At 45.1% G+C, this 24445-nt stretch overlaps 1 protein-coding gene across 4 annotated transcripts in view, besides 1 other annotated feature; it reads right to left on the bottom strand.

Annotated features, from left to right (window-relative positions):
* The window catches only part of EVA1A (eva-1 homolog A, regulator of programmed cell death), a 77402-nt gene extending 53227 nt beyond the window's left edge, over positions 1–24175 (bottom strand). For 2 of the 4 annotated variants that reach the window (NM_001135032.2, NM_001369525.1), the window contains exon 1: positions 15136–15395. The gene's annotated coding sequence lies outside the window, so the exon portion shown is untranslated. Of the gene's footprint in view, positions 1–15135; positions 15396–15712; positions 15786–23931 lie in introns of those variants that run through there. The other 2 variants (NM_001369524.1, NM_032181.3) reach the window with 2 other exon arrangements.
* Positions 15345–15404: a silencer, noted in NCBI's record as "silent region_11682". NCBI's record gives its function as "represses an Ori minimal core promoter by ATAC-STARR-seq in GM12878 lymphoblastoid cells {active_cell/tissue: GM12878}" and the evidence as "EXISTENCE:reporter gene assay evidence [ECO:0000049][PMID:35858748]".
* Positions 24176–24445: the final 270 nt, after the last annotated feature.

A 24445-nucleotide genomic window follows, 5' to 3' on the forward strand; every position in this document is an offset into this window, starting at 1 on the left:
AGGTGTCAGCACAACAGAAAGGAGGCCTTAAGCAGTGAGATTTCTGGACTTGTGGTAGAGAAAAAGTGGTGACCAGACATGTGATTCCGGGGAAGGAGGCTAAAGGGAAAGTGCAGCCTGGAGGGCAGAAGCAAAGCACAGGACACAGAAATCATTCATTCACTCATTAATTAATGAAGCTCCTATTAATACAGGCATTTGATTGGGCACTGCAGTTACAAAGATAAATAAGCCTCAGTCAGTGTCTCCTAGGGGGAGGAGAGGTTGTTACCAAGGGGAAGCCCAAGGAGCTATAAGGATGGCAGAGGAAGGGGTCATAGCTTCCTGGAAGAGGTACCCCCAGAGGTCAGTCTCAAAGAAGTAGGAGTTAATCAAGCAGATAATAGCTGAGAATGGGGGAGGATGAGCACCTCTCAACTCAAAGAGCATTCCTGGAGAAAGACACGATTTGAGAGAGAGAATTGTATAGCTGGGGAAGAGCAAGTGGATGAAAATGAGTGAGGCACAAAGTGAAAGGAAGGGAAAGTGAGAGAGGAAACTGTTGAGGGGGCTGGGGCCAGGTCATGGGAGGCCTGGTGTGTTCTGCAAGGGAGCTCAGACTCTCTCCTAGCAACAGTAGGGAGCCACTGAGGATGCTAAGCTGGGAAGCTGCACTCACACTTCCCTATTCAATTTCTCCACTCTATTTGCTTGTGTGGCCTCCCATAAACATCGCCAAGAGCAGGAACTATTTTTTTCATCTTTTCACCTTTATATCCTTGGAGCTTAGCATAGTCCCCAGAATGCAACAGGAACTTAGCACTTATTGTTATATGAACTAATGAATGAATGAGCAAAGTGCCAAGTAGGGAAAGAAGAGGCTGGGGGGAAAATGCAGTGAATGAAGATGAGAGAACACTGTCAAATGCAAAGGCTAAGGAGTTTGAACAGAAATCCATCTGAACTGTAGTAATAAAAGCATATGTAAATATAGACAAAATCTTCATGTCCCAAGCAGTGTATATACGACGTGGATGGAAAAACTGACCACAGATGAAGACACCTTGGAGAAGGAACTGAATTGAGATCCACTCAGGGATCTTGGTCAGAGGAAGCTCCTGAATTCTTCTTGGGAAAGGGTCATGTTAGGGGTTGAATTGTGTCTTTTCCCCTAAAAATATGGGGAACTCCTAACTTCCAACACCTCAAAATATGTCCTTATTTGGAAATAGGGTCTTTACAGATTTAATCAAATTAAGACAAAGGCATTAGGGCGGGCCTCAACCCAATATAACTGGTGTTCTTATAAAAAGGAAATTTGGACACAGACACACACACAGCGAAGATGATGTGAAAAGACACAGAAGACAGCCATCAATAGGCCAAAAAAAAAAAAAAAAAAAACACCTAAGGCTACCAGAAGCCATTGGAGAACCCTGGGACAGATCTTTCCCTAGAGCCTTCAGAGAGGGCATGGCCCTGCTGACATCCTGATTTTGGCCTTCTGGCCTCCAGAACCATGAGCCGATACTTTTCTATTATTCTAAGCCACCCAATTTGTGATATTTTATTATAGGAACCCTAGGAAATGCACACAGGCTGGCAGTTAAAACAGATTAACACTTGCAGCCGACTTTGGTATTTGTCCTCCCTACGTGCATTCCCTTGTCCTCCTTGCTGGATGGGTCTTAGAAGGAACAGAGGGGAAAGAATGGAGCTGCACAGGTTCATGGATGGAGCTTCATGCCACCCACCGGGTGAGGAGAAAAGATTCTGCATCTCAGGAATGGTACAGGCTTTGACACCAGACCTGGGTTAAATCTTAGCTCCATTTACCAGCGATACAGCTTTAGGCAAATGACTTGCAATTTTCAAACTTCAGTTTGAAATAGGAAATACAACTTAACATTCTAAAGAATTCTTAAGAATTATGCTTAACAAGGAGATAATCTATGTAATGCACCAAGCACGATGTCTAGTGACCAGCAGGTGACCTCCCAGATGTGCGCATGATTCTGAGTCACACACCCAGAATACCCAAGACTTTTTTTTCCTTCTCTGGAAGAATCAGTCCACTGAGCATTAAAGAAACAACTAGACATGTTCTCATCAAATTGGTCTGCAGTCCTGTCATTTTCACTTTGGAGCACACCACAAACCATTTCTCCCCATCGTCCCTTCCTTAAGTTCCCTGAATTAAAGCAATAGCTCCTAACTGGCTCCCTACCTCCATTCTCTCCCCATCCTCCAATTCAGCATTCACAGAGTCACCCACCAGCATTATCACTCTAGAGCAGGGGCTGGTAAACTACTGCTCATGGGTAAATCCAGCCCACTGCCTGTTTTTGTTTATAAAGTTTTACTATCACATAGCCACACTCACTCACTCATTTGCATATTGTCTGTGGCTCCTTTTGCACCATAGTGGCAGAGCTGAATAGCTATGACAGACTGTAGGTCCACAAAGCTTAGAATACTTACTATCTGATCCTTTACAGAAAAAGTCTGCCAGGCCCTGGGTAAGTTGCCATTCCCTTCAGTGACTTGCCTCTCATAAAAAACCTACATTGAGTAGTTGGCCCTTGCCTGTCTTTCCTAGCTCATTTCTCTTTTATTTATTTATTTTTGAGACAGGGTCTCATTCTGTCACTCAGGCTATAATGCAGAAGCGTGATCTTGGCTCACTGCCAGCTCCACTTCCTGTGCTCAAGGGATTCTCCCACTTCAGCCTCCCAAACAGCTAGAATTACAGGCTCACATCACCATGCCTGGCTAATATTTTTGTATTTTTGGTAGAGATGAGGTTTTGCCATGTTGGCCTGGCTGGTGCTGAACTCCTGGGCTCAAGCAATCTGCCTGCCTTGACCTCCCACAGTGCTGAGATTATAGGTGTGAGCCACCCTGCCTGGCCTCCTTGCTCATTTCTTGCCACTCCCCTATGTCCCACTCTTGCTGATTAAGAGTCCCCCCAAACACCACGTGTTGCCTCCACCTGTAACATCTCTACTCCCTTTCCACATGAAAAAATTTCACATATTCTTTAAGATTATGTTTAAATGTCCCTTCCCTCCGAAGCTTTTCAGCCCTATTCAAGGGTCAGGCACTCCTTCCTTAGAGTTCCCTTAGCACCCTGTGACATCCCTTCAATAGACAGCATGTTGTAAAGAATGAATATGCGCCTACAGATCTTTCTCCTTTACTGGACACCCCCAACCTAAACCTCTCTCATTCCCTCCTAGAGCACCCTGTTCTTGTCCAGGATAGCAGTTACCAGTTTATAATCATCATGTATTTTATCTGTGTATTTACTTCTTGAATGCCCATCCCGTAATAACTGTGAGCCCCCAGAAGGCAGGAACTAAGACTGTCAGAATCACCATCACTTTACCATCATCTAGCCTTGAGCCAGCCACATAGTTGTTCAAATTATTAAATGAACTGATGACTGGCTAAATGAAAAATATATATATATATATATATATATATTTTTTTTTTTTTTACTAATAAATCAAATACAAATGAAAGAGAATCTAAGGTATCACAGCTGTTGCTTTATGGGCACACAGTGTACTGCCTCCCAAACCCTTTTGCACCCTGCCACAATCCAGAAGGTTGGATGGGCAGAAGCACCAGTGATAGCTTAGATGTGGATATCTGACACATGTATACAGCCCTGTGCACTCATTTGTGGGAATCAGTGTGGAACATGTACATAGGACTTTTTCATGACAGAAAATTCAGACCCTGTGGAATAGGAATAAAGCCAAGTATGGGATTATGTAACTTCACCGAACCACATTTGTGCGGAGCCACACAGCATCCCAGCCACACCTTCCTGGGGAAGCACTTCCACCACTCTTTGTCTACTGAGGAAAAGTGGGGCAAAACACCTGCAGCTTCTTCCCTCTGATGGAAGAAAGAGTCCCTAAGGAGAGTGCCCTGTCTGTCCATCACACCCACACCCAGCCAAAGGGACTCTGCACATGCCCACATCCAGGTGAGAGACCTGGCTGGGAGGAGAGTGGGGAGGGGTCCGGCAGGGATGATCCTTCCTTGCCTCCTACAGTGTCCTCCAGTACCTTCAAGCTGTCCTCCAGGGAACCTTCAAGCTGGAAATGTGACTCTTGAATGATGTACTGTTTACTTTTCCTGATACCTGAAGGCTCAAGATCAAACAAATAATTCAGCTGAGCTGCTGCTTTGTGTGGGGAAAGAAAAATACCCCAAGGCCATTTCCCGTGTGGCCTTTTGGATTCAGGATGGTGCCCTTTGGGAGAGCCCTTTCCATAAAGGCCCTCTGTGAAGGTGTGTGCATTTCACTGAGATGTTTCCAAGAAGAGCAAAGATGCCATTTCAACCAAAGCAAATATTTGAAGTTGGCAGCCAAATTCTAATTCCAGCCCTGAGCCTCAGGGATGTCAGCATCATGAACATGAACCAAGGCAAAGCTGAATTTCTTGTTTAAGTCAAGCTTTTAACCCTCTATGGTATCTGCCTCTGGTCTGAACAAAAGAATCTTAAGTATGAAAACAGAGATTGTCTTTGCCCCTAGATAAAAACATCTTCTGGGATGGCTTCTGGGAGGCTCTGGGATGCAGTCTCTAAACCTGGTAACAAAGAATTCACAGGAAATGCCCCTATTTTTCCATTATTAAGAACTTTAAATGGCAGTGGTCAAATCCTCTAGGGTCATTCCAAGCAGAGGGTTGTCACTCCAGCAAATCTTATAATGGACCTTTCATTTCCTACAAGGTCTAAACAACTCTCTGTCTCCTCTCATATATTTGCCTTCATCCCCAACTACCTTTCCCTTTGCTCAGAGAAGCAGGTGTCTCTTCTCCAGTCCAAAGCTGGTGTCTCCTCCCCATAACCCCACTATGGTCTAGGTCCTCTTCCTTCCTCCTGAAACCTTGGTGCTGTTGCCATCCTTACCTCCAAGTATCTACACAGCAGATGCCAATTCCCCATGCCTGAAGTGGAGCTTCAGTACATCATGCTCTATTGAGGAATACTTTGAAGGCAAATTGAGTGGGTGATATACTGAACGCACCTGAATTTGACATGGTCTGGACTTAACAACAAGTGATAAGTCACCACTGGGCATTGTGAAAGACATTTTCTCTGCTCCATCTAATAAAAGCTGAAGACCTGAAACACCTGTCCAGAATTTCTTTAATGATATCCAACTATCAACATGGAAGCCATCCAGAATATGAAGAGAAATATTAGAAATCTGTGTGGAAAAGAGAAGCAAACATGGAGACACCTCTCCCAGCGTGCATAGTCCATTTGTGACCACTCTATAATATGTGCTGGTCGGGCAGGCACGGTGGCTCACGCCTGTAATCCCAGCACTTTGGGAGGCCAAGGAGGGCAGATCACGAAGTCAGGAGTTCGAGACCAGCCTGGCCAGCATGGTGAAATGCTGTCTTTACTAAAAATACAAAAAATTAGCCAGGCATAGTAGTGTGTGTCTGTAATCCCAGCTACTTGGGATGCTGAGGCAGGAGAGTCACTTGAACCCAGGAGGCAGAGGTTGCAGTGAGCCAAGATCGCACCACACATTCCAGCCTGGGCGACAGAGCAAGACTCTGCTCAAAAACAAAACAAAACAAAACAAAAAAAACCAAAAAAAACGTGCTGGTCTTTTCCATCTTTAAAACACTGTCTCTACCTAATACCTCTAGCTGCTGTCTTTTCTTGCATGTTACTTTCATAGACAAGCCTCTAAAAACAATTGCTAAAGTTTGGTATGTCCACTTCCTCACCTCACATTTGTTCATTAGCTCCCCTCATCTGTTAGACTCCCCTCATCTGTTAGACTCCTCTCACCAAGTCGTCAATAGCTTTGGAATTTCCAAATCCGTGAACATTTCAGATCTCTCATTCTTCCATATCATTTGAAGCTGTTGATCCCCCTCTCCTGGAAACTCTCCTCTTCCGCATCCCAGTCTCCCATTTCCTCCTGCCTTTCTGCACATCCCCTTCCCTGTTGACTTCACTGGGTTCTCTCCTTCCTTCCCTGAGGTCAGTGTTGTGCCCTAGTACTGCCACTCTCGGAAGCAATCTGGCACATGCCTGGCATCCTGATAGCTGACTTAAAATCCTAGGTCCATGACTTATAGCTGTGTGACCTTGGGCAAATTACTTACCATCTCTGTGCCTAGGTTTACTCAGCTGTAAAATAGGTAAAACAATAGTAGTCCTTCCTAACAATGGTTGTTGAGAGGATTAATACACGTAAAGTGTTTAGAACATACAGTACACACTCAATAAACATTAGCTATTATAATTCCTCTTCCCATACTCCATAACCCTCCGTAACCAACTGATCCATGCCATGACTTCACTACCTTTGGTTAAAGTTTGTTTGTGGGCCGGGCACCGTAGCTCATGCCTGTAATTCTGGCACTTTGGGGGACTGAGGCAGGAGGATCACTTGAGGCCAGAAGTTCAAAACCAGCCTGGTCAACATAGTGAGACCCTGCTCTACAAAAAGTTTTACAAATTAGCTGGACATAGTGGCATATAACTGTAGTCCCAGCTACTCAGGAGGCTGAATCAGGAGGATCACCTGAGCCCAGGGGTTCAAGTTCAAGACTGCAGTGAGCTATGATTGTGCTGCTGCATGCCAGCGTGGTCACAAAGTGAGACTCTGTCTCTTAAAAAAAAAAAAGTTAGCTTTCTTGTAAATCTTGAAGACTTTTCTCGGGAATGTCAAACCTAGAAAACATCTGCCCACTAGCCATCTCTCCCTAACTATCTTAATATTTCAAACTCAACATATCTGAAACTGAGTTCATCATCCTTCCTATAAATGCTGCTCCCTCCTCCCTGTCCCTTCTCTCTCCTAATGAATAGCCCCACTATCCTTCCCACTGGATGCCAGGCCAAAATGTCAGAATCATCCTAGACTCCTGCCCCTCCCTTACTCCCCTGTTCAATCAGTCACCAAATCATGCCAACTTTATTGCCAAAGGCTTTCTTGAGTCTGCCCAATTCTCCACCCTAATTACCAGTGTCTTATTAGAATCTCATTATTTCTCACCTAGATGATAGTAAGTCACAACAATATTAAAAATAATACTGGCCACTAGTATGACTTGCCAATTACAAATAAACCACTGTAGTAGACATTTCCCATACTTCATTGTATGTAACCCTGTCTACCATGCATACCATCCATAAGGGAGGAAGTAGAGTCCACTGTTTTCAGATAAGACAGAGGCTCAGAGACATTTGCTAAACAGCCCAAGTTACAGGGAGTGTGGCTGGGAAGGAGGCTGAGATGTATCTGACTCCAAATCTCAGGCTTTTTCATCCCCTAAACTGCAATAACATGCTAACTGGTCTTTTTGCCACCTATCTTATTCTTCTCCAATATTTACTCTATTGCCAGAACAGTATTAGAACAAAACTTTGACCCAGTCTCTCCTCTGTGTGAAATCCTGCAGTAGCTCCCCACTATCTTCAAAGTAAAATTCCAATTCTCTAACAAATCCAGATGTGATTACCTTGCCCCTTCACAGGCTGACTTCCTTTGTCCCCAGCCATGCCTATCTGCCTTCCCTTCTTGAAGCAGCCCTGGTTTGCTCACCTGGACATGCTGGACTTCTCACCGGCCCATCTGCCTAGGCTCCACTTCTCCTCTCATCAGCCTGGATGCTCCATCTCAGCCTCTTTGATGCATGTTGTCTTGGACTCACCTGCTCTCCAAGCTGAGTTTAGGTGTCCCTCCTGTGGGTGCACATAGCACCCTGTGATTGCCTCTAGTGTGGTACTTTAGGGTAGTACAACATTCATTGATTGAGCATCTGCCATAGGCCAGTTTACAGTAGGCTCTGGTGATTTGGGAATCAACAAGACATATGTCCTGATTTCAGAGAACTTACTGTAATGAGAGATGGACAGCAAAACATTGCATTACTATCTCTGATTTCCTCATCTGTCTCCACACTGGATTGCTGAGCTCCTTGGGCACAAAGAGTATCTTGTTCATCCCTGTTTCCAGAGCCTGGAACTGTGCCTGGCACATGAAGGTGTCAATAAGTGTTGGCAGCTTGAGCTGAGCAGACACACCAAGGCCACCAAGCTGTCTCTGTGAGCACATTAGCACACCCACAGGAACACTTTTACTTTCATGTGTGTCTTTTTCAGACTAAATGTCCAGTCATTGTCTTCTGAAGTTCCACAAGATCCTACAGTGCACCCTGCTTTTGACATGCAGCAGGGTCTAACACTGGAGAATGTCCAGGCCAACCATTCCTGCCCTGTGTGACTGACCCACTAGGAGATTAAAGGACCGAGGTCTCATAGCAAGTAAATGGCATTGCTGACTCTCCTCCAGTGCTCATTCCGCCCACTCTCAGGTTCATAGCGACATCTCAGTGCAGCAAAGAAGGATGCCACTGTCAGAGGTTGCTTGGCCAAGTGGCACTCAGGATGGGGGAACTCAGGAAAGAAATGCTTCTTCCAGTAACAGGCCCTACCCGTCTCCTCCCATGGGCTGCTATGGCCTGTCTTGTCTTGACAAGATGAGTGTGTTTGTGGAGGTGCCCAGAGAAAGACAGCTTTAGGCAGCCCTTTTGATCAAAGTCCCCTTGCAGAAACAAGATCCCCTGAAGTCTGCTCCCTGCAGCTACCACCAGCCCCATCTGAATGACAAGGGCAGGAGGGGGCAAGGCAAAAGGGGAGAGGCTTAAATTACAGCAGGTGTTTTGTAAAGTCTTCTTTTCCTTGCAAGTTTATGGTTGCTTCTCTACTAAGCAGCATTTCCCTCTCCTCTCACCATGGAGGGCAAAGTGCAGGCTGCCTTGGTGATCAAAGAGGGGGCAAGAGGAGGAAGAGAGTTTTTGAACCCCAGAACAAAGAGCATCTCACTGCCCCCAGGCACAGCCTCAGATGCCAGGCTGGGGAGAAGGAAAGGGGGAAAAGCGGGGAGGAAATGGCCATTCCTATCCCAACCACAGCGGCCCACTCTTTCACCTTCTTTTTCGAAAGCAGATTTTCTAAAAGTATCTTTGATGATAACAGCTCTCTGGAGACTATCTGGAGCGGGATAAAGGGCTCAGAGTTTGGTGCCCTGGACCTGATCCTGGCTCTGCCTTTTAGTTGTGGGTGTGACCCTGATTCCTCCTCTAATACAGACCTCAGAGGGTGTTTGTCAGGATCCATGCAATTAAGTCAGCTAAAGCCCCTAACACAGTGCCTGGCACCCACCCCAGGTTATAATTGATCTCTAGGAACCACTCCTGGGACCACTTCCCTGGAGGAAGGATGGTCCCCAGAAGAGAGGATTCTTCTCCCTGTCTCCAGTCCCTGATCCCTGGCTGGATTGAGTCTTCTTCTCTACTCATATCTTCTCTGTCATGGCACTAATCCACCACACTGTGTTGTCTGTTTTCTTTTCTATCTCTTCCTTCAGACCATGAGCATCTTGAGGTCCAGGAATGGGACTTCCATGCTAGAGCATTCATTCACTCATCTATCACTTACTAAGTGCCTCCTATGTGCCAGGGGGTCACTAAGTGGTGAATAAATGAGTAAAGCCTGGGGATGACCTATAGAAGGACCTACATCAATTGTCTAATCAATAAGCATATGCACCCATCCTCTGTGGGGAGCTCAGTGCAATCAGCACATGCAAATGGCTTTGGGCTCAAAGAAAGACTGCAAATGGGAATGCAATTCCCAGGAAATGTGTGAATCCTAATAGCTGTTGACCTGCTGGATCACAGGCTGGATTTTATGTGAAACAGACTTTAGCATCAAAACTCAATCTCTCTCTCTCTCTCTCTCTCTCTCTCTCTCTCTCCCCCATCTCCCCTTCTTTCCCTCTGTTTCTCCATCCCTTTCTAAGTCTGGAGAAATTTAGCAATTGCTTAGCAATTCATACAGACTTTTGGATGCTCTAAAGGTAAAACCTAGACTCTGGAGGGGCCACTCACATAGCTCATCAGCTAGGACTTTGAAAAGAAAACAAAACAACTACCCACAACCTCCCAGCTCAGCTTTGTTTTTGATTGTGATTTCTTTGCTTACTAGAGACAGTGTCTCTCCCTGACCCGTGGGCTCTGGTTCCACTGCCCCAGGAGGAAACAAGGCCAGCAGAGATAAGAGGCAGAGCCCCTATTCAAAGAGCTCAGCACACCTGAGCTTTAAATGCCCACTCCATTGTCTCAAAACAGTACAGAGACAGACTCCTGCACTGGTAAAATGTCAAAGTCACCTCCCCAGGCCCATCTCTGCCCTCCAGTCCCCACCATATGCCTACATGTCTTCCAGGCCCTTTCTTGACTCTTACACATGCTGTTTCCTATCTGTAATGCTCTTTAATCACCAGTCCCTTCAAACCCGCCAAGCTCCCGCTTACACGTTAAGGCCAAGCTCAAACATCCTCTTCTCTCTGATGCCTTTCCTAACTCTTCTAGCAGAGATGGTGCTGGTTCCTTTGAGCTCCCAGTTCTCTGCTCAGATCTCTTATTCTATTTAACACATTCTGATGATCTATTCACACGTCCCTCATATGTCATGGACTGCAATCTTAATGGTACAAACCAGGTCTTCATCTTTGTGTCTCTGGCACCTGCACAGAGCTACGTATTGCACGTGTATTCCAAGTCCACACTAATACCTCAAGGTTCTGCCACCACTCTAGTCTGAATCCAAATGCCCTTTACAGCACTAAACAGGGTTTCACACAGAGTCAAACAACAGAGTGCATTTCACAGAGAATACAGCTCAAGACGTAAATGGGGCAAAGTGTATCTCCCTAGAACTAGAGACACAAAGCAGGGGCCAGCTTCATTAGAAAGTCTGCTGCAGGTCACTTAAGAGGTGCTACCCAAAGTGGCAGCCAACGAAGTGTGACATCAGAGGCCTCAAGACCTGGCACCAATCCTGACATCCCCCTAACCTTTCTACCCTGGGCTAGTTTATCTTCTGTGCCAAGCTATAAAAGCCTCAGTATAAATACAAGTGATGCCCAAAGATCTTGGGTCTAACTTTTATTCAAGGCATTAAAATCCTACAGGAATTTGTCTCTCAGGTCAGCCAGCTAGTGACCTAGGAGAGGGGATAATGCCAGGAGACAGTACGAGTCTGGTGTGGGAAAGGGAAGGCAGTGCTATAGGGCAGCGGTTCCCAACCTTTTTGGTTCCAGGGACCAGTTTCCTAGAAGACAATTTTTCCACGGATAGGGGGAGATGGTTTCAGGATGAAACTGTTCCACCTCAGATCACCAAACATTAGATTCTCATAAGGAGTGCACAAACTAGATCCTTCACCCATGCGGCTTGCAATAGGGTTCATGCTCCTATGAGAATCTAATGCAGCCGCTGATCTGACAGGAGGCGGAGCTCAGGCGATGACCCTGTTCCTAACAGGCCAGGGACCAGCCAAGGGGTTTGAGGACCTCACCATGGGGATCTGAAGAGTCTTGGATGTCAATGGATAGGAGAGTTCTCACCCTACTCCACCCTCAAAAGCAGCACTTACTAGAATGTTTCCCTGGCCCCTAAAAAACCCACAAGGCTTTACACATGCCAGGTTAGGTGACCTCACCCCACTGAAGTTTTGGAGACAACCTGCCAAAACAAGCAAACTCAGGGGGATTACAGCTGTGCAGGACAGCTGTGGAGGAAGCCAGAGTACACAAATGTGCAGGTATTTGTGTAAGGCAGTCTAGCCCACAGAGCAAGTGGCCCAGCGACTAGCAAGTGGGCTCGGTTTTCAAAGCCAAGGCTGCATTAGAAGCAATAGAAGATTCCAAGTTAGTTTAGTGATCAGTTGTAACCAAGTATCCAGTGTCAAACACAACTTACCCAGAGGGTAAGTGAGTGGCTCCAAATCTGCTTCTCCAACACCCCATATGGGTCATTAAATTCCCTTAGCCAGTTTTACCTTCAATAGATAAATGAGCCTTACAATACATGGAGAGAAGGTGTACTTTGCATCTGATCAAGTATAATGTGGGACACTCAGCTGGTGGCATTTATTCATCCATCCCTCATGCATCAATTGGTTTCACCAATATTTATATGCTAGGTGCACACTGCAAAAGGCACATGCACAGTAAAGACAAAGCTGGAGTCACAGAGTTTTCGACCCCAAGTCTGCACCTCTCTCCTCCAGGCAGGTGTGTGTTGACTCCATCCCCCCATCCCAAAAAAGTTAATCCTCTTCTAGCCCTGACTATGTACATAGGCTCAATTTAGCATCAAGATCAGTGGTGCTAGGAACTAACCCCAATGTCCTGCCCCTCTGTGGCTGGGGGCAGGGCCAGGAGGCAAGGAAAGGAGCAAGAGTTGTAAAAATAATGGCATAGTCTTAAATCACAAGCATGATGCAGGTGGAAAACCCAATGGACTTAGGCTCTCATTAATGCACTTAGCAAACCTTATCTCACATTAACTGAGCACTTATTATATGCCAAGCACTGGGCTAAGCCCTTTACCCGCATAGTGTAAAGAGTATGTGTTTTGAAATCCAGATGTGTGCGTGAATCTTGGCCCTACCGCTCATTAGCTCCATGACTCTGGGCAAAGTGCTTAGCCTCTCTGTGCCTCTGTTTCTTTGTCTGGAAAAAAGGGCAATACCAGTAGTAACTGTAAAGGACATTATAGGTTTTAAATGAGTAAAAATGTATAAAATGCTAAACTTGAACCATGTCCTGGAATTAGGTAGGCACTCAGTATTAAGATGAATGATTATTATTCCATTAGTTAGTCATACTAGTCTGCAGAGAAGGTACGCTATTTCTTCTTACCAAGAAGACTTTGAGAGACTGATTCAACTTGACCAAGGTCAAGTAATTAACTTTTAACAGAGTTAATAAGCGGCAGAACTGAGATTTGAACGCAAGAAGCCTGACGCCAAAGCCTGAAACCATCACTGTGAGCATCGACGGCACTAAGCTAGATTCTAAGTATGTAAGACCAGGGGAGAGATAAACAAAATACTGCAAGAGATACATATTTATTTTTTAAAAAAAAGGAGGGGAGAGGGGAGGCTGAGGCTGAGGCTGAGGCTTTCCCCCAACCTGGGGCAGGGCAGGGAGCAACAAAATGGTCTGTAGGAACTGAAGAATGATGCTTCACCCAAAAGGAGACTTAACTTCTAGTCTCAAAGATTGATTGCCAGCCAAGGAGGAAGAAGGGCATTCCAAAAAGTCAGGACCTAGAATACCAAAAGAATAGTGGGTTGGGGGAATGTCAGGAACATTGACGAAGTGGCATAAGGTGAGGCCAGTTGTGAAGAGCCATGTGTACAAGGTCGGGGGTTACATTTTATTCTGTAAAGACAGTGATTTTCAAACTTTAACATGCAGAGGAATTACCTTCAGTGCTTGTAAAACACCTGCAGATTCCCAATTCCCATCCCTTCTGCTAGCAATAGGGGACCAACAAGGGTGCTAAGGCAATATAGCCGCATGACCTGCTGTGGATTTGGCAACAGAATTCTGGCACTGGAATGGAGGGAAAGACTGGGACAGAGACTGGTATAATCAGCCAAACTAGAGCAGATAAAAGGATGAGAGCTGGAAATAATGGCACTCTTCATGAAGTGAAACATTAAACCTGGGCTTCTCAACCTCAGCACTATTAACATTTTAGGCTAGATAATTCTTAAATCTTGGAAGCGGAGTGGGGGAGGGGGGAGATGTCTTGTGCAATACAGGATGTGGCAGCATCCCTGGCCTCTACCCACCAGATGAATAAGATCCTCTTCTACTTACATGATGACAGCCAAATATGTCTCCAGACATTGCTGGATGTCACTTGGGAAGTAAAATCAAAATTCCGTTGAAAACCATTACTTTAAGCCCTAGCATCCCTGCTTTACAGATGAGGAAATCCAGCTACAGAAAGGTACAGGAAGGCCCCAGCCAGGATTCAAGCTGGTGGTCTCACTCCAGGGCCCGGGCTCTTAGCCACTGCGCTTGACTGCCTTTATGGAAAGGAGATTCAAGCCAGCCTTCTGAACAGTATTACACATTTCGTGACAGACTGGATGACAAGAAGGGGATGAATTAATAAGATTCAAAGGTGAAACCTCAGTGCTTGCCGCTGAACTCAGAGGACAGTAGATAATAAGTAGTTTGGGTTTGAATATAATCAAGGTATATTAGGTCAAAACGGAAAAAGCCTGGTCCCTTGTACTATGAGAAAGGAGGTGGGGGGGGGGCGGGGGAGTTGGGGGGACGGTTCTTGCTCAGACTAAAAAGAAGAATCTTCTGTAGGGCTGGACTTGAAGTGTATGTGTGGTATAGACCAGCTAGGACCCAAATCCTGGCTGGGCCCTTTCCTAGCTAGCTGTGTGGCCCCATCTCATTTTGCCCGTTTGTAAAATAGGGGTAAGAGTCCCTACACACAGGCTTGTTATGAGAACTCAGGCAGTTAATAAGAACAACATGGCAAGCCAGCACGATGTGGTTGGCACTCCTCTCCTTCCAGGACATCCTCATTTCCTCCATGTCCCAACGCGCTCCGTACTGCGTGCCAACACCTCCCCTTACCCCTCAATAGTAGGGGTGGGGACCCCCACGCAGACCTCCCAGATAGAGCAGCGTGGACTGTCTGCGCGCCCCTCTCCAAAAGCAAAGCGTCCCACTGGGACTTTAGGGGGCGCCAACAGCCTTTCACTCCCTGATGCACTCGGCTTTCGGGGTCCTGGGGGTCGCCAAATGCGCGCGGCGAGTTGGCTGCCTCCGAAACAAACCAGGTAAATAGTCCACGGTGCAGCACGTACATTTCTGGCAGGTCCGCCCCGCGCAGGCTTGGGATAGAAGCCAGTCAGGCTCAGCCCAGCTCCCAGAGGCACAGGAGAGAAGCGCTAGATTTGGGAACGACCTGCTTTCCGAAGCTGGGCTGCAGAGGCAGGGAGTTGAGAGTTGTTCTATCCAGAAAGAAGCAGGGGGGGCGAGAGAAGAAACAGGAAAGTGGGAGGAAGAGGAGGCAAAAAAGAAAGCGCTGGGAAGCAGAGTTCCCTGTGGGACCCAGCCTACAACACCTGGGCAGGGACTTGGGAACAAAGCAGCTGCTTCAGGTCAGAAGTGCTCTGGGTGTTTCCGAAAAGAGGGCGCTTCGGAGAAGCCGGAGCCCGCTGGGGATGCCGGGCGCCCCCAGAGTTCAGGGAGCGCTCTCGGGCACCTCTTACCTTTGCTGGGGCCCCGGCGCGCACTTCCGGGGACTGCGCTTGGGGCGCGCGGGGCCGAGCAGGGGGACCCGGAGCTGATCACTGAGGGGCGGACACGACAAAGCGCTGCCCGGGTCTTGGGCCGGCACCAGTACCTCGGAAAGGAATCCCGGCGGAGGGGCCGCCGGGGTCAGGGCTGGCCTGGGGATGTGGGGTCCCGGCCTGGGTGCTCACGGACGGCGGCGCCAAGCCCCGCAGAAGCTGCAGGAGCCCGAGTCAGTGGGAGGAAAAGGTTGTCTCATTTCCTTCGATCTCCCCCCTCCTCCACCCGCTTGGCTCCGGACCTGCCCTCCCTCTCCCCCGCCCCCTTCTGCAAGCCAGCGGCCCATGTGGGCGCCCGCAAGACGCGAAACCTGAACGGCTGCGGCGTGCGGCACCTCCCTCCGCGCCAAGTTAGTTCACGCTCCCAACTCCTGCCTGCCTCCCCGCGCTGCCGACTGTCCGCAGGACCGGGGAGGTTCCCCATCGGCAGTCCCCAACCTATCCCGGTCCTCCAGGCTTTCCCCCTGCTGGGACGAGCCCAGATTTGAAAGCAGACCTCCAAGCCCCTGCCAGCATCCATCCTCTCATTCCTGTCCCGTCGCCTGCTTTGAGCCTGTATTCAGCTACTCAACTCAGACAGGAAATAACCACTTACTTTGTTAAATTTGATCAACTTTTTTTTTTTTTTTTTTCTGAGTGGGAAGTTAAAGCCTGATGCATAATCTCGAAGGAATGTTCATTTTTATCGGAAGAAATGCAGCTGAGGCCTCTGTTTGGCCTTTCTCTTTCAGGGTTGGGGTTTTGTTTGTTAAAATCAACAAGTATTTTATTGAGAGTGATGGGCGCTCAGCTGGGGGCTGGAAACGCAGAAACAACTAGAGGGACACCCTGTTCCTATACAATCGTCATAGGGGAAGAGTGCAGGGAGAGAACAGGTCCCGGGTTGCGGTGGTCTCTTAAGAGATGGGTCACGGAGTGAAAGAGCCTTCTACAGAATCAAAATAAAAGCTTGGACAGAGGGAAGACGGAATAAGAAAGCCTTCAGGAGGCGGTCTAGCAAAGAGCACAGCCAGGGCAGTGAGTGATGGTGGGGAACAGGGAGGAAAATATTGTGCCAGTCCGTTAGGAAAGGAGAGGAGCTCCTAGAAGCAGTGTGATGGAACTGACAAGATCTGATGACCAAGGGCTTGAAAGGGAGAAGATGAGGAGAGGATGAAGGAGAGAGGTGACTCCCAGGCCTCTGGCTAGAGTAGCCAGTGACCACGTGGATGACTAGAATCCCAGAGTGCCTTCTGGAGCTGCTACTCCAAGTGTGGTCCAGAGACTGGCAGTACTAACACCACATGGAAGCTTTATGGAAATGAAAACCCTCGGGCCGCACTTGAACCACTGGATTAGTATCTGCAGCTTAACAAGATCCCTAGATGATTCAAATGTGCATTAGAATTTGGAAGCACTGGCTGCTAGACCACTGACTGTATATTATGCTGTATATTGGACTGATTGTATATTAGACTATGGAGCCCTGGGTGTCTATTAGAAACACCTGGGGAGCTTTAAAAACCAATAGGTGGCCCCAGCTCCACCCTCACAAATATTTCTGTAATTGTCTGGGGTGGAGCTCCCACATCAGTTTTTTTTCAGATGCTCTCAAGATGATCTCATACAGCCAGAGATGAGAGCCACTGTTTCAGACTTACTCAAGAGCTACTTCATTTTACCTTGAAATGCTGCTCTTCAAAAGGAAAACAACACCTATCTGTAGATGAAAACGTAAAGACAGGTTATTCCACTCTCATGCAGAGGCAACTGGTCTGGTAGAAAGGGCCCTTGTTTCCTAAACTAATCAGGGAACAAGGTTCTAGCCTCAGACAGCACTAAATTACTCTCTGAACTTGAGAAAGTACTCCCCTCTCCGACCTCTGTTTCCTTATCTGTAAAAAGAATACATACTTGCCTGACTCCAAATTCCACACTCTGGCATGCAAGGGCCATCATCAGAGCTCCCCCTAACTCTCCAGCTTTCCAGCAGGCATATGGAGAGGCTGTGATGAGAAGCGGGGTTTCCTGATGTAATACTACGTGTGTTAGCCAAGGGCACAGCCCTGTACGAATATCAGAGATCAGAGGTTTGTGTGCCGAGTACAGGAGCACACATACAATCAGTGCTCAGTAAATGTGTGTTGAATGAACTAATTAGTAAAGAAATAAATAGATAGGGCACAGGTGCCAATAGGTGAGCACAGACTTTCTATAGATGGGCCCTAATCTTGAGCCTACTTATTTGCCCCCAGGCTGGAGAAAGGACACCTGGAAGCACTCTGACCCAATCTACCTTTGGATTTAAAAATACTACCACTACTAAGAACTGCTAATATGTGTTGGTACTTAGTACGTGCCAGTCACTGGGCTGTGTCTCACTTATAAACATTGCCTCATTTTATTAAAATGAAGCAGATACTGTTGAACCCCCTACACTTCAACAGATTTCAGGAATCACAGGTATGGAGAGACTAGAGCTGCCATCTAGATTATCTACTTCTGGTTGTGCAGCAGGACAGAAGTGCATCCGTTGCTAGCCTGAGAGCCCCTCTTGGGGTTCCTACGGGTCATTCTCCAGAACATGCATCCCTGCATGAAGGCCAACATTGAGATAAATGACTACTTAAGGATCCTACAGAGGTAGATTCTACCAGGAGCTATGTCAGAGGACCTATGGGTTATGGCTGCACCTTGGAAAGGAACCCCTCAAAGCTACTAACTTCATGCTTGCATGCACACGTGTGTTCATGTGTGTGTGTATGCTTTTAATGAGAGCCTCATAGATACCGAACTCTACGCCAATCCTTTCCACATACATTTCTTTTAATCAACACAGCATCTTGATTGGCTAAGTATTCTTGTTCTGTTATTTTATAAATAAGAAAACTGGAACAACATGAAGATCTGTTCATCTCTGTAGCCCGTTTCTTAAGTATACATTCTATTGCATTGTTGTTCCTGTCTACCACCTCTGCCCACCCCCATTCTATGGAGGCAAGAATCTTCACTTCAAGTCCCATTCGCTTGTTATGGTTACAAGTCATCAAAACTCTCTGTGCCTCATTTTCCTACCCACAAAATAAGTTGTCTTTGATTGCTCTTTTTTGAAGGTACCGTGTGTGGCTTGACACTCTAGGCTGAGAGGAGATGAGGAGAGATAACCCACAGACTGTTAAGAGAAACTGAACACTGGGGTGATTTATTCTAAGATGAGAGGGCCCATTGCTTCATTAATGGCAAAATTATTATAAAAGAGGGAAATAGCTATTTTCCATTTCTAGGGAGACATATTTATGGAACAGTGCCAAATATCAATTAAGACCTTAGGTCAGATGTGAGAAAGGGGCATTAAGCCTCTGCTAGACTAGGGCAAATTCTCAATGGCTACCTTTTGAAGCTCCCTATCCTGGTCTCATAGGGTCTGCTGGATAGACCTTCAGGGTGGAGGTGGTCAGGGAACACAGGAGAGGTTGGAACGCACAGGCTGATACAGGAAGGGCAGAGGAGTAGGGAGTCCATGTGCACAGGCACAGCGTACAGCTCCAGTTCTAACCAGAGATGAAGAATTAGAGGAAGAAAAGGGTTCATCCCAGGAAACTAGGATCTGCAGCTCAGGATCTCAAGTAACCACTTCATGCCCGGTTCTCGGCCCAAGGCTGATAGCTGGGGCTCTCAGTGTGAGCAGCCTTGCAGATGTGGGCAGGTAATGCCAGCAGAGTGCACAGGGCTCCCATGGCGCTGGTGGTCAGAGCAGGGAACCACAATCCGCCCACACTGATGTTGTGGCCAACAGCACATCCAGTTCATGGAAAAAGTCTAGAAGCCAGGGCCCCTTCAGCTAATACAAAGATGTGATAGTTTTAATTCTCAGTGAGTGGAGGCTGTGGCATTCCCTCAGTGGCGCAAATGTCGTGATGACAAGATTTGATAGGAGGATCGTGTTCCACCCATGACACCACTGAGCACCACCGATCAGCTACTGTTAGACAAGACTCTAGCCACATTCCTATTGCTTCTGCTTCCAAAACTCCATCTGCATTTGCATAGCAGTAATTTGATGATTTTACACAAGCTCATTGTGGCAAATATTTACTAGTTTTTGCTTCAAACAGAAATACAACCTCAGACTTTGATTACCCCCATTTTACTGATGAACAAACTAAGGCACAACACCCAAAGGCAGCCAAAAACAAAAACAAACTGAGTCACCAGCTGAGTGAAGGTGAAACCCTTAGACTCCTATGGTTTACCCAAAAATGATGAGCTGCCAAAGGCACCACAAGATGCTTGCAGTGAGAATATGTCCCGATATGTCCTCACCCAAAATCATCTGGCACTATGTAACCCGTGTGTCTATCAATGCAGTTCAGCTTAACTGTCATTTCCTGGAGACTGCTCGCCCTTCACAGAGAACTGTCCTAGACACCATAGGCAACCTTGCTGCACGATACACTCAGCTCTCAGCTGGGGCATGTTCTGAAATCACAAGCTGGGCTCCAGATCAGACCAATTGAATCAGAATCTCTATGAGTAGGGCTTTTTTTTAAACCTTTCCAGATAATTACAATGTGCTGTTAGGATTGAAAGCCACTTCTATAGGAAATGCAGAGACAAATTCCAAACAGTAAGGAGCTCAGTCTAGTAATAGATGATCTTCAAACGTCACCAGGAAAAGGAGAACATCAAAACTGCTCTCCTGTGTGCGGAGTATTAAGACAATGTCAAACAGACAAAAATCCCTGGACTTTTCTCTGCCGTAAGTGACTGAAATCATCCTCATGTGGTAGGATGTGGGGATTTTCCTACCCCACAAGGTAGGAAATCTGGTTTTGTCCCAAGAAAGTACAAATGATTGAAACCAGAATCCTTGCCTTCTTCCACTATGGCACTGCTATTTACAAGAAGCCTTCAAACTTCCAGCTCTTATTAATTCCAGAAGTAGTAAATGATCTCCAGGAGTGATGGAGCAAGGCAGGCATGTAAAGCAAATAATGAAAGACAAAGGAAATTGCCTCATGGCCTGATGAGAGGCTAATGGATGTGCAGACAGAGACACCAATGTGTCACCATTAATGATGTCACTTTAGGAAAATCAGGAGGCCGAAAATTTTTTTTCATGCTTTGCCCTACAGTTATTTCCTATCTATTCATCTTAACAAAAGTGAATTTGAAAAGAAAATGTATACTTGTTTAAAATGTTAGTTTGGAGAAATGAGGACAACCTTTCTCTTTTTCTCTCTCTCTCTTTCTCTCTCTATCTCTCTCTTTCTCCAGTTGTCTCACCTTTGGTATTACATTTCCTGGCAAAGTAATGGGACTTCTGTTAAGGTCCACGGATAGTCATTAACCAAGTGGCATTTACATTCATTCATTCCACGACAGCCTGCTGAAATGAAACTAGTCATTTGATAGTATTAGCTACTAACATCGCCTAGACACCAAAGGTCAAAGAATGCAGTATGCCTTATTTATAGTCCAACCTTTTGCCAAATTTTTATAAGGTCTAATGGATGCATTTAATTGCCAAATAAATCAATGTTGACAGTTATACCCCCTCTGCAGTCCTAGATTCCAGATGTAGACAACCAAATTATAAAAACCCACGTTCTCCAGGCCTTGTCTTTTTTTTCAGAAAGCAAAGTTTTACCTGTACAAAGGAATATGAGAGGATGCCAGGAGCACACGTCAGTCGTTCAAAAGAACTTTTCATGGAACTAAGACCTCTAGGGAATATAAGCCACACAGCTAAGTTTCCACATGTTCTCATCACTTCTCTCACCTTTTTAAATGTAATGTGCCCGAAAAGGATGAAATATTGAGTAAAAAGCAGCAATTAAGTATCCTCTTTATCTGTTCTATTGTGGAGTGGGGGTTTATCTTGTTGAATTATTTCCTCACAGGCCCTAGTCAGAAGAATAGAGATTTAAATACTCCTGGATCAAACACTTTGTCTTGCTTGGGGCAATAGAGTAGAAATCAAAATATTTCTCTAGCCAGTTGCTGCTGCCCAATACAACATTTCTTCTGATTAATGATAGGTTTTTAATCAAAACATATTCACCATTTAAAACATAAACATAGCTTAGTATAAAATTTGCTTCTTTATTTTTTTTTCTATTTTCTATAGGGGAATTCTCATGCCCAGGCTGACACCTCTTCTACATTTTTCATCTTGGCTAACAAGGTTAAATAAGCATAAACAGAACTTAAACAAATCATCCATACACAACACTCTCTTTCTAACCAACAGGAAGCCACTGTAAAATTGAGAGATTTCAATGATAAAAAATGAGACAACGGAACTATGAAAGATGCCTAGAGAAAATGCTAATAGTTGTTCTTTAAGAAAATTCAAGTTAGATCCCAAGTCACAATATACATGGGCCGCAAAAAGTTGTCAATAAGATAAATATTTTTAAAATAAGATAAATCTATTTTTATATTGAAAATACCATTGACTCTCATTATAAAATTGAGATATCACACTACATTTTAATCTCATGACCTGTTTGAAAAATTACCCTGCATGTCTAGAAAACTATACATTTTTAGAGAAAAAGGATACATAAGAGTTTGGAATAAAGTATAAGTTTTGAGTTAAAATAGCTCAACCTCATAGCATACCTGAACTGGACACTGAGCCCTATGTTAGGGTTTCATTATGAGACTGCCTGCAACTCTTCCAAATTCCTCAAAGACTTATTTTCTGTAACTCTGTGAAAGTTGTCAACCTGAGAAATTAAGAGTGATTTGGTTTGAAAGATAAATGGGCAAAACACAGGACAGACAACAAATCATACCGAGCTCTTAATCTCCCTGAAGAGTGTACACTAACCAGAACAGATTATTGAAGGGGTCCCAAATTTCTGAAACCCGCATAGTTCATGCTTTTAATCCATTCTTCCATTCATAGATTTCATGGTTGCAAATTCTAGAACACGGTTTCCTTATGCACAGGTATGCTAGATCTAATCAAACCAACTGGATGGCAATGTGTTCATGTCCCCAGTGCCCAAATCGGAGTGATTTCCATTGCTTAAACCAGTGTCCGCGACCAGCAACCAGTCGGTCTCCTGTGTCTGAACACATCTGATGGAGTTTGGGATCTACTGTAGATGTAAATGAAGAATCTAAGATTTTGATCCTAACAGAAGAAGAGCTAATAAATGAAAGGCTGATTCACTTGCTTCATTTTTAGTCCACACTGGGAATCTGTTAAATTAGCAGGTTTGATTAATGTATTAACAATACAATACTCTTGATTTATTTTAAATGGCTTGCTATACTTCCCAGAAGCATAAGGTTTACTTGTAATGAGATGTGCAGGGCAACAGAGCTTCCTATGACTTCAAACTCCCTGGGCACATGGGAAGTTTGGTCTGGGGGGCTTTTCTCTGTGCCAAAGCCCCTGCTTGCCAGGCCTTTCCTCCTCATCCTTATTTCCTCTTTCCTTCTCTTTAATCTTCCCACTGTCTCCTTCCTCTGCCTTGAACATACCTGAAGCTCCCCCATGTTTATGTTAATAATGTATTATTATTTGATAATGAATAATAAATCATTGTTACCAATCAATAATTATTATTAAATAATTAAGTAAAATTTAATAATTAAAGGATATTGTTTAATATTAAGTAATAATTATTAGATAATAATAAATAAATAATTATTAAATAAACCTTCAAGATTCTGGACCCATTTCTAGATATTGTCCTTTTTTTAATTTTTATTTTATTTTATTATTTTGGGAGTACAGGTGATTTTTGGTTACATAGATAAATTCTTCAGTAGTGATTTCTGAGATGTTAGTGCACCTGTCACCCGGGCAGTATACGCTGTACCCAGTGTGTAGTCTTTTCTCCCTCACCTCCCTTCCAACCTTCCCCCTCAAGTCCCCAAAATTTATTATATTGTTCTATGCCTTTGCATCCTCATAGTTTGGCTCTCATTCATAAGTAAGAGCATACAATATTTGGTTTTCCATTCCTGAGTTACTTCACTTAGAATAATGGCCTCCAGCTCCATTCACATTGCTGTAAAAGACATTATTCTGTTCCTCTTTATGGCTGAGTAGTATTCCATGATGTACATACACCACATTTTCTTTATCCTCTGGTTGGTTGATGAGCACTTAAATATGCAAAGATATGGAACTATGCTTTCACATCTTTGCAATTGCAAATTCTGCTGCTATAAACATGTGTTGCATGTGTCTTTTTCACATAATGACTTCTTTTCCTTTGGGTAGATAACCAGTAGTGGGATTGCTGGATTGAATGGTAGTTCTACTTTTAGAACTTTAAAGAATCTCCGTACTGTTTTCCATATTTACTTTCCCATCAGCAGTGTAAAATTATTCCCCTTTCATCACGTCCATGCCAACATATATTGTTTTTTGACATTTTAATTATTTAATTTTAATTTAATAAATATTTTAATAATTTTTAATTATTTCCAGATACTTTTATTTATACTTCACTCTTTTCATAACCAAACTTCTCAAATAAATGGTATTCACTTGCCTCACTTTCTTAATCCCCTTCAATCCTCAGCTCACGGTAGTCTGGTTTTTGTCCCCAACACGCCACTGAAACTGCCCTCATTAAAGTCCCCCATGGCTGCCTCCTGCTAATGCTCCTCATCTCCCTGCAGTACTTGCTGCTGTAGCCACGTCCTTCTTCACACCCCCTCCTCCTTTCACTTCTGTGCTTCTCCATTTCCTAGATCCCCTCCTACCTTTGTGATCATTCCTCCTCTGTGACCTTCTTTAACTGGCTTTGCTTGGTAACAGACACATCTGTTCGCATCACTAAAATGCTTCAGGGGTTGCCCACCTCTTACAAAATAAAATCAGGTCTCCATAGCATGGGCTGCAACGTCCTTCAGGGTCAGCCGCTACATATCTCTCCCAACCATTCAGTACCAACCCATCTTCTGCTTCAGCCATGTCAACCTTTTTGCAGTTTCACAAACAGGTTATGCTATTTCACGCTCCTGTACCTTTGTACAGAATGTTCTTGACTCCACCCCCATCCTCCACTAAGGAATTCCAGCTCATCTTTTAAGACTGAGGACAAAGGTGAGCAATTCTGGGAAGCTTTGTCTGCCCCCAAACAGAGGCAGCAACCCCACCTGAGTCCTGGGCATCTGTGACACATTTTCACTGTAGAGCTCTGCACCCTGTTACGTCTCCCATATCCGAGTCCTGTGAGGTCAATAGGTTCTTGTTCATCTCTCTGTCTCAGGTTTG

The sequence above is a fragment of the Homo sapiens genome, chromosome 2, assembly GCF_000001405.40.
Source record: "Homo sapiens chromosome 2, GRCh38.p14 Primary Assembly".
Classification (NCBI taxonomy): domain Eukaryota; kingdom Metazoa; phylum Chordata; class Mammalia; order Primates; family Hominidae; genus Homo; species Homo sapiens.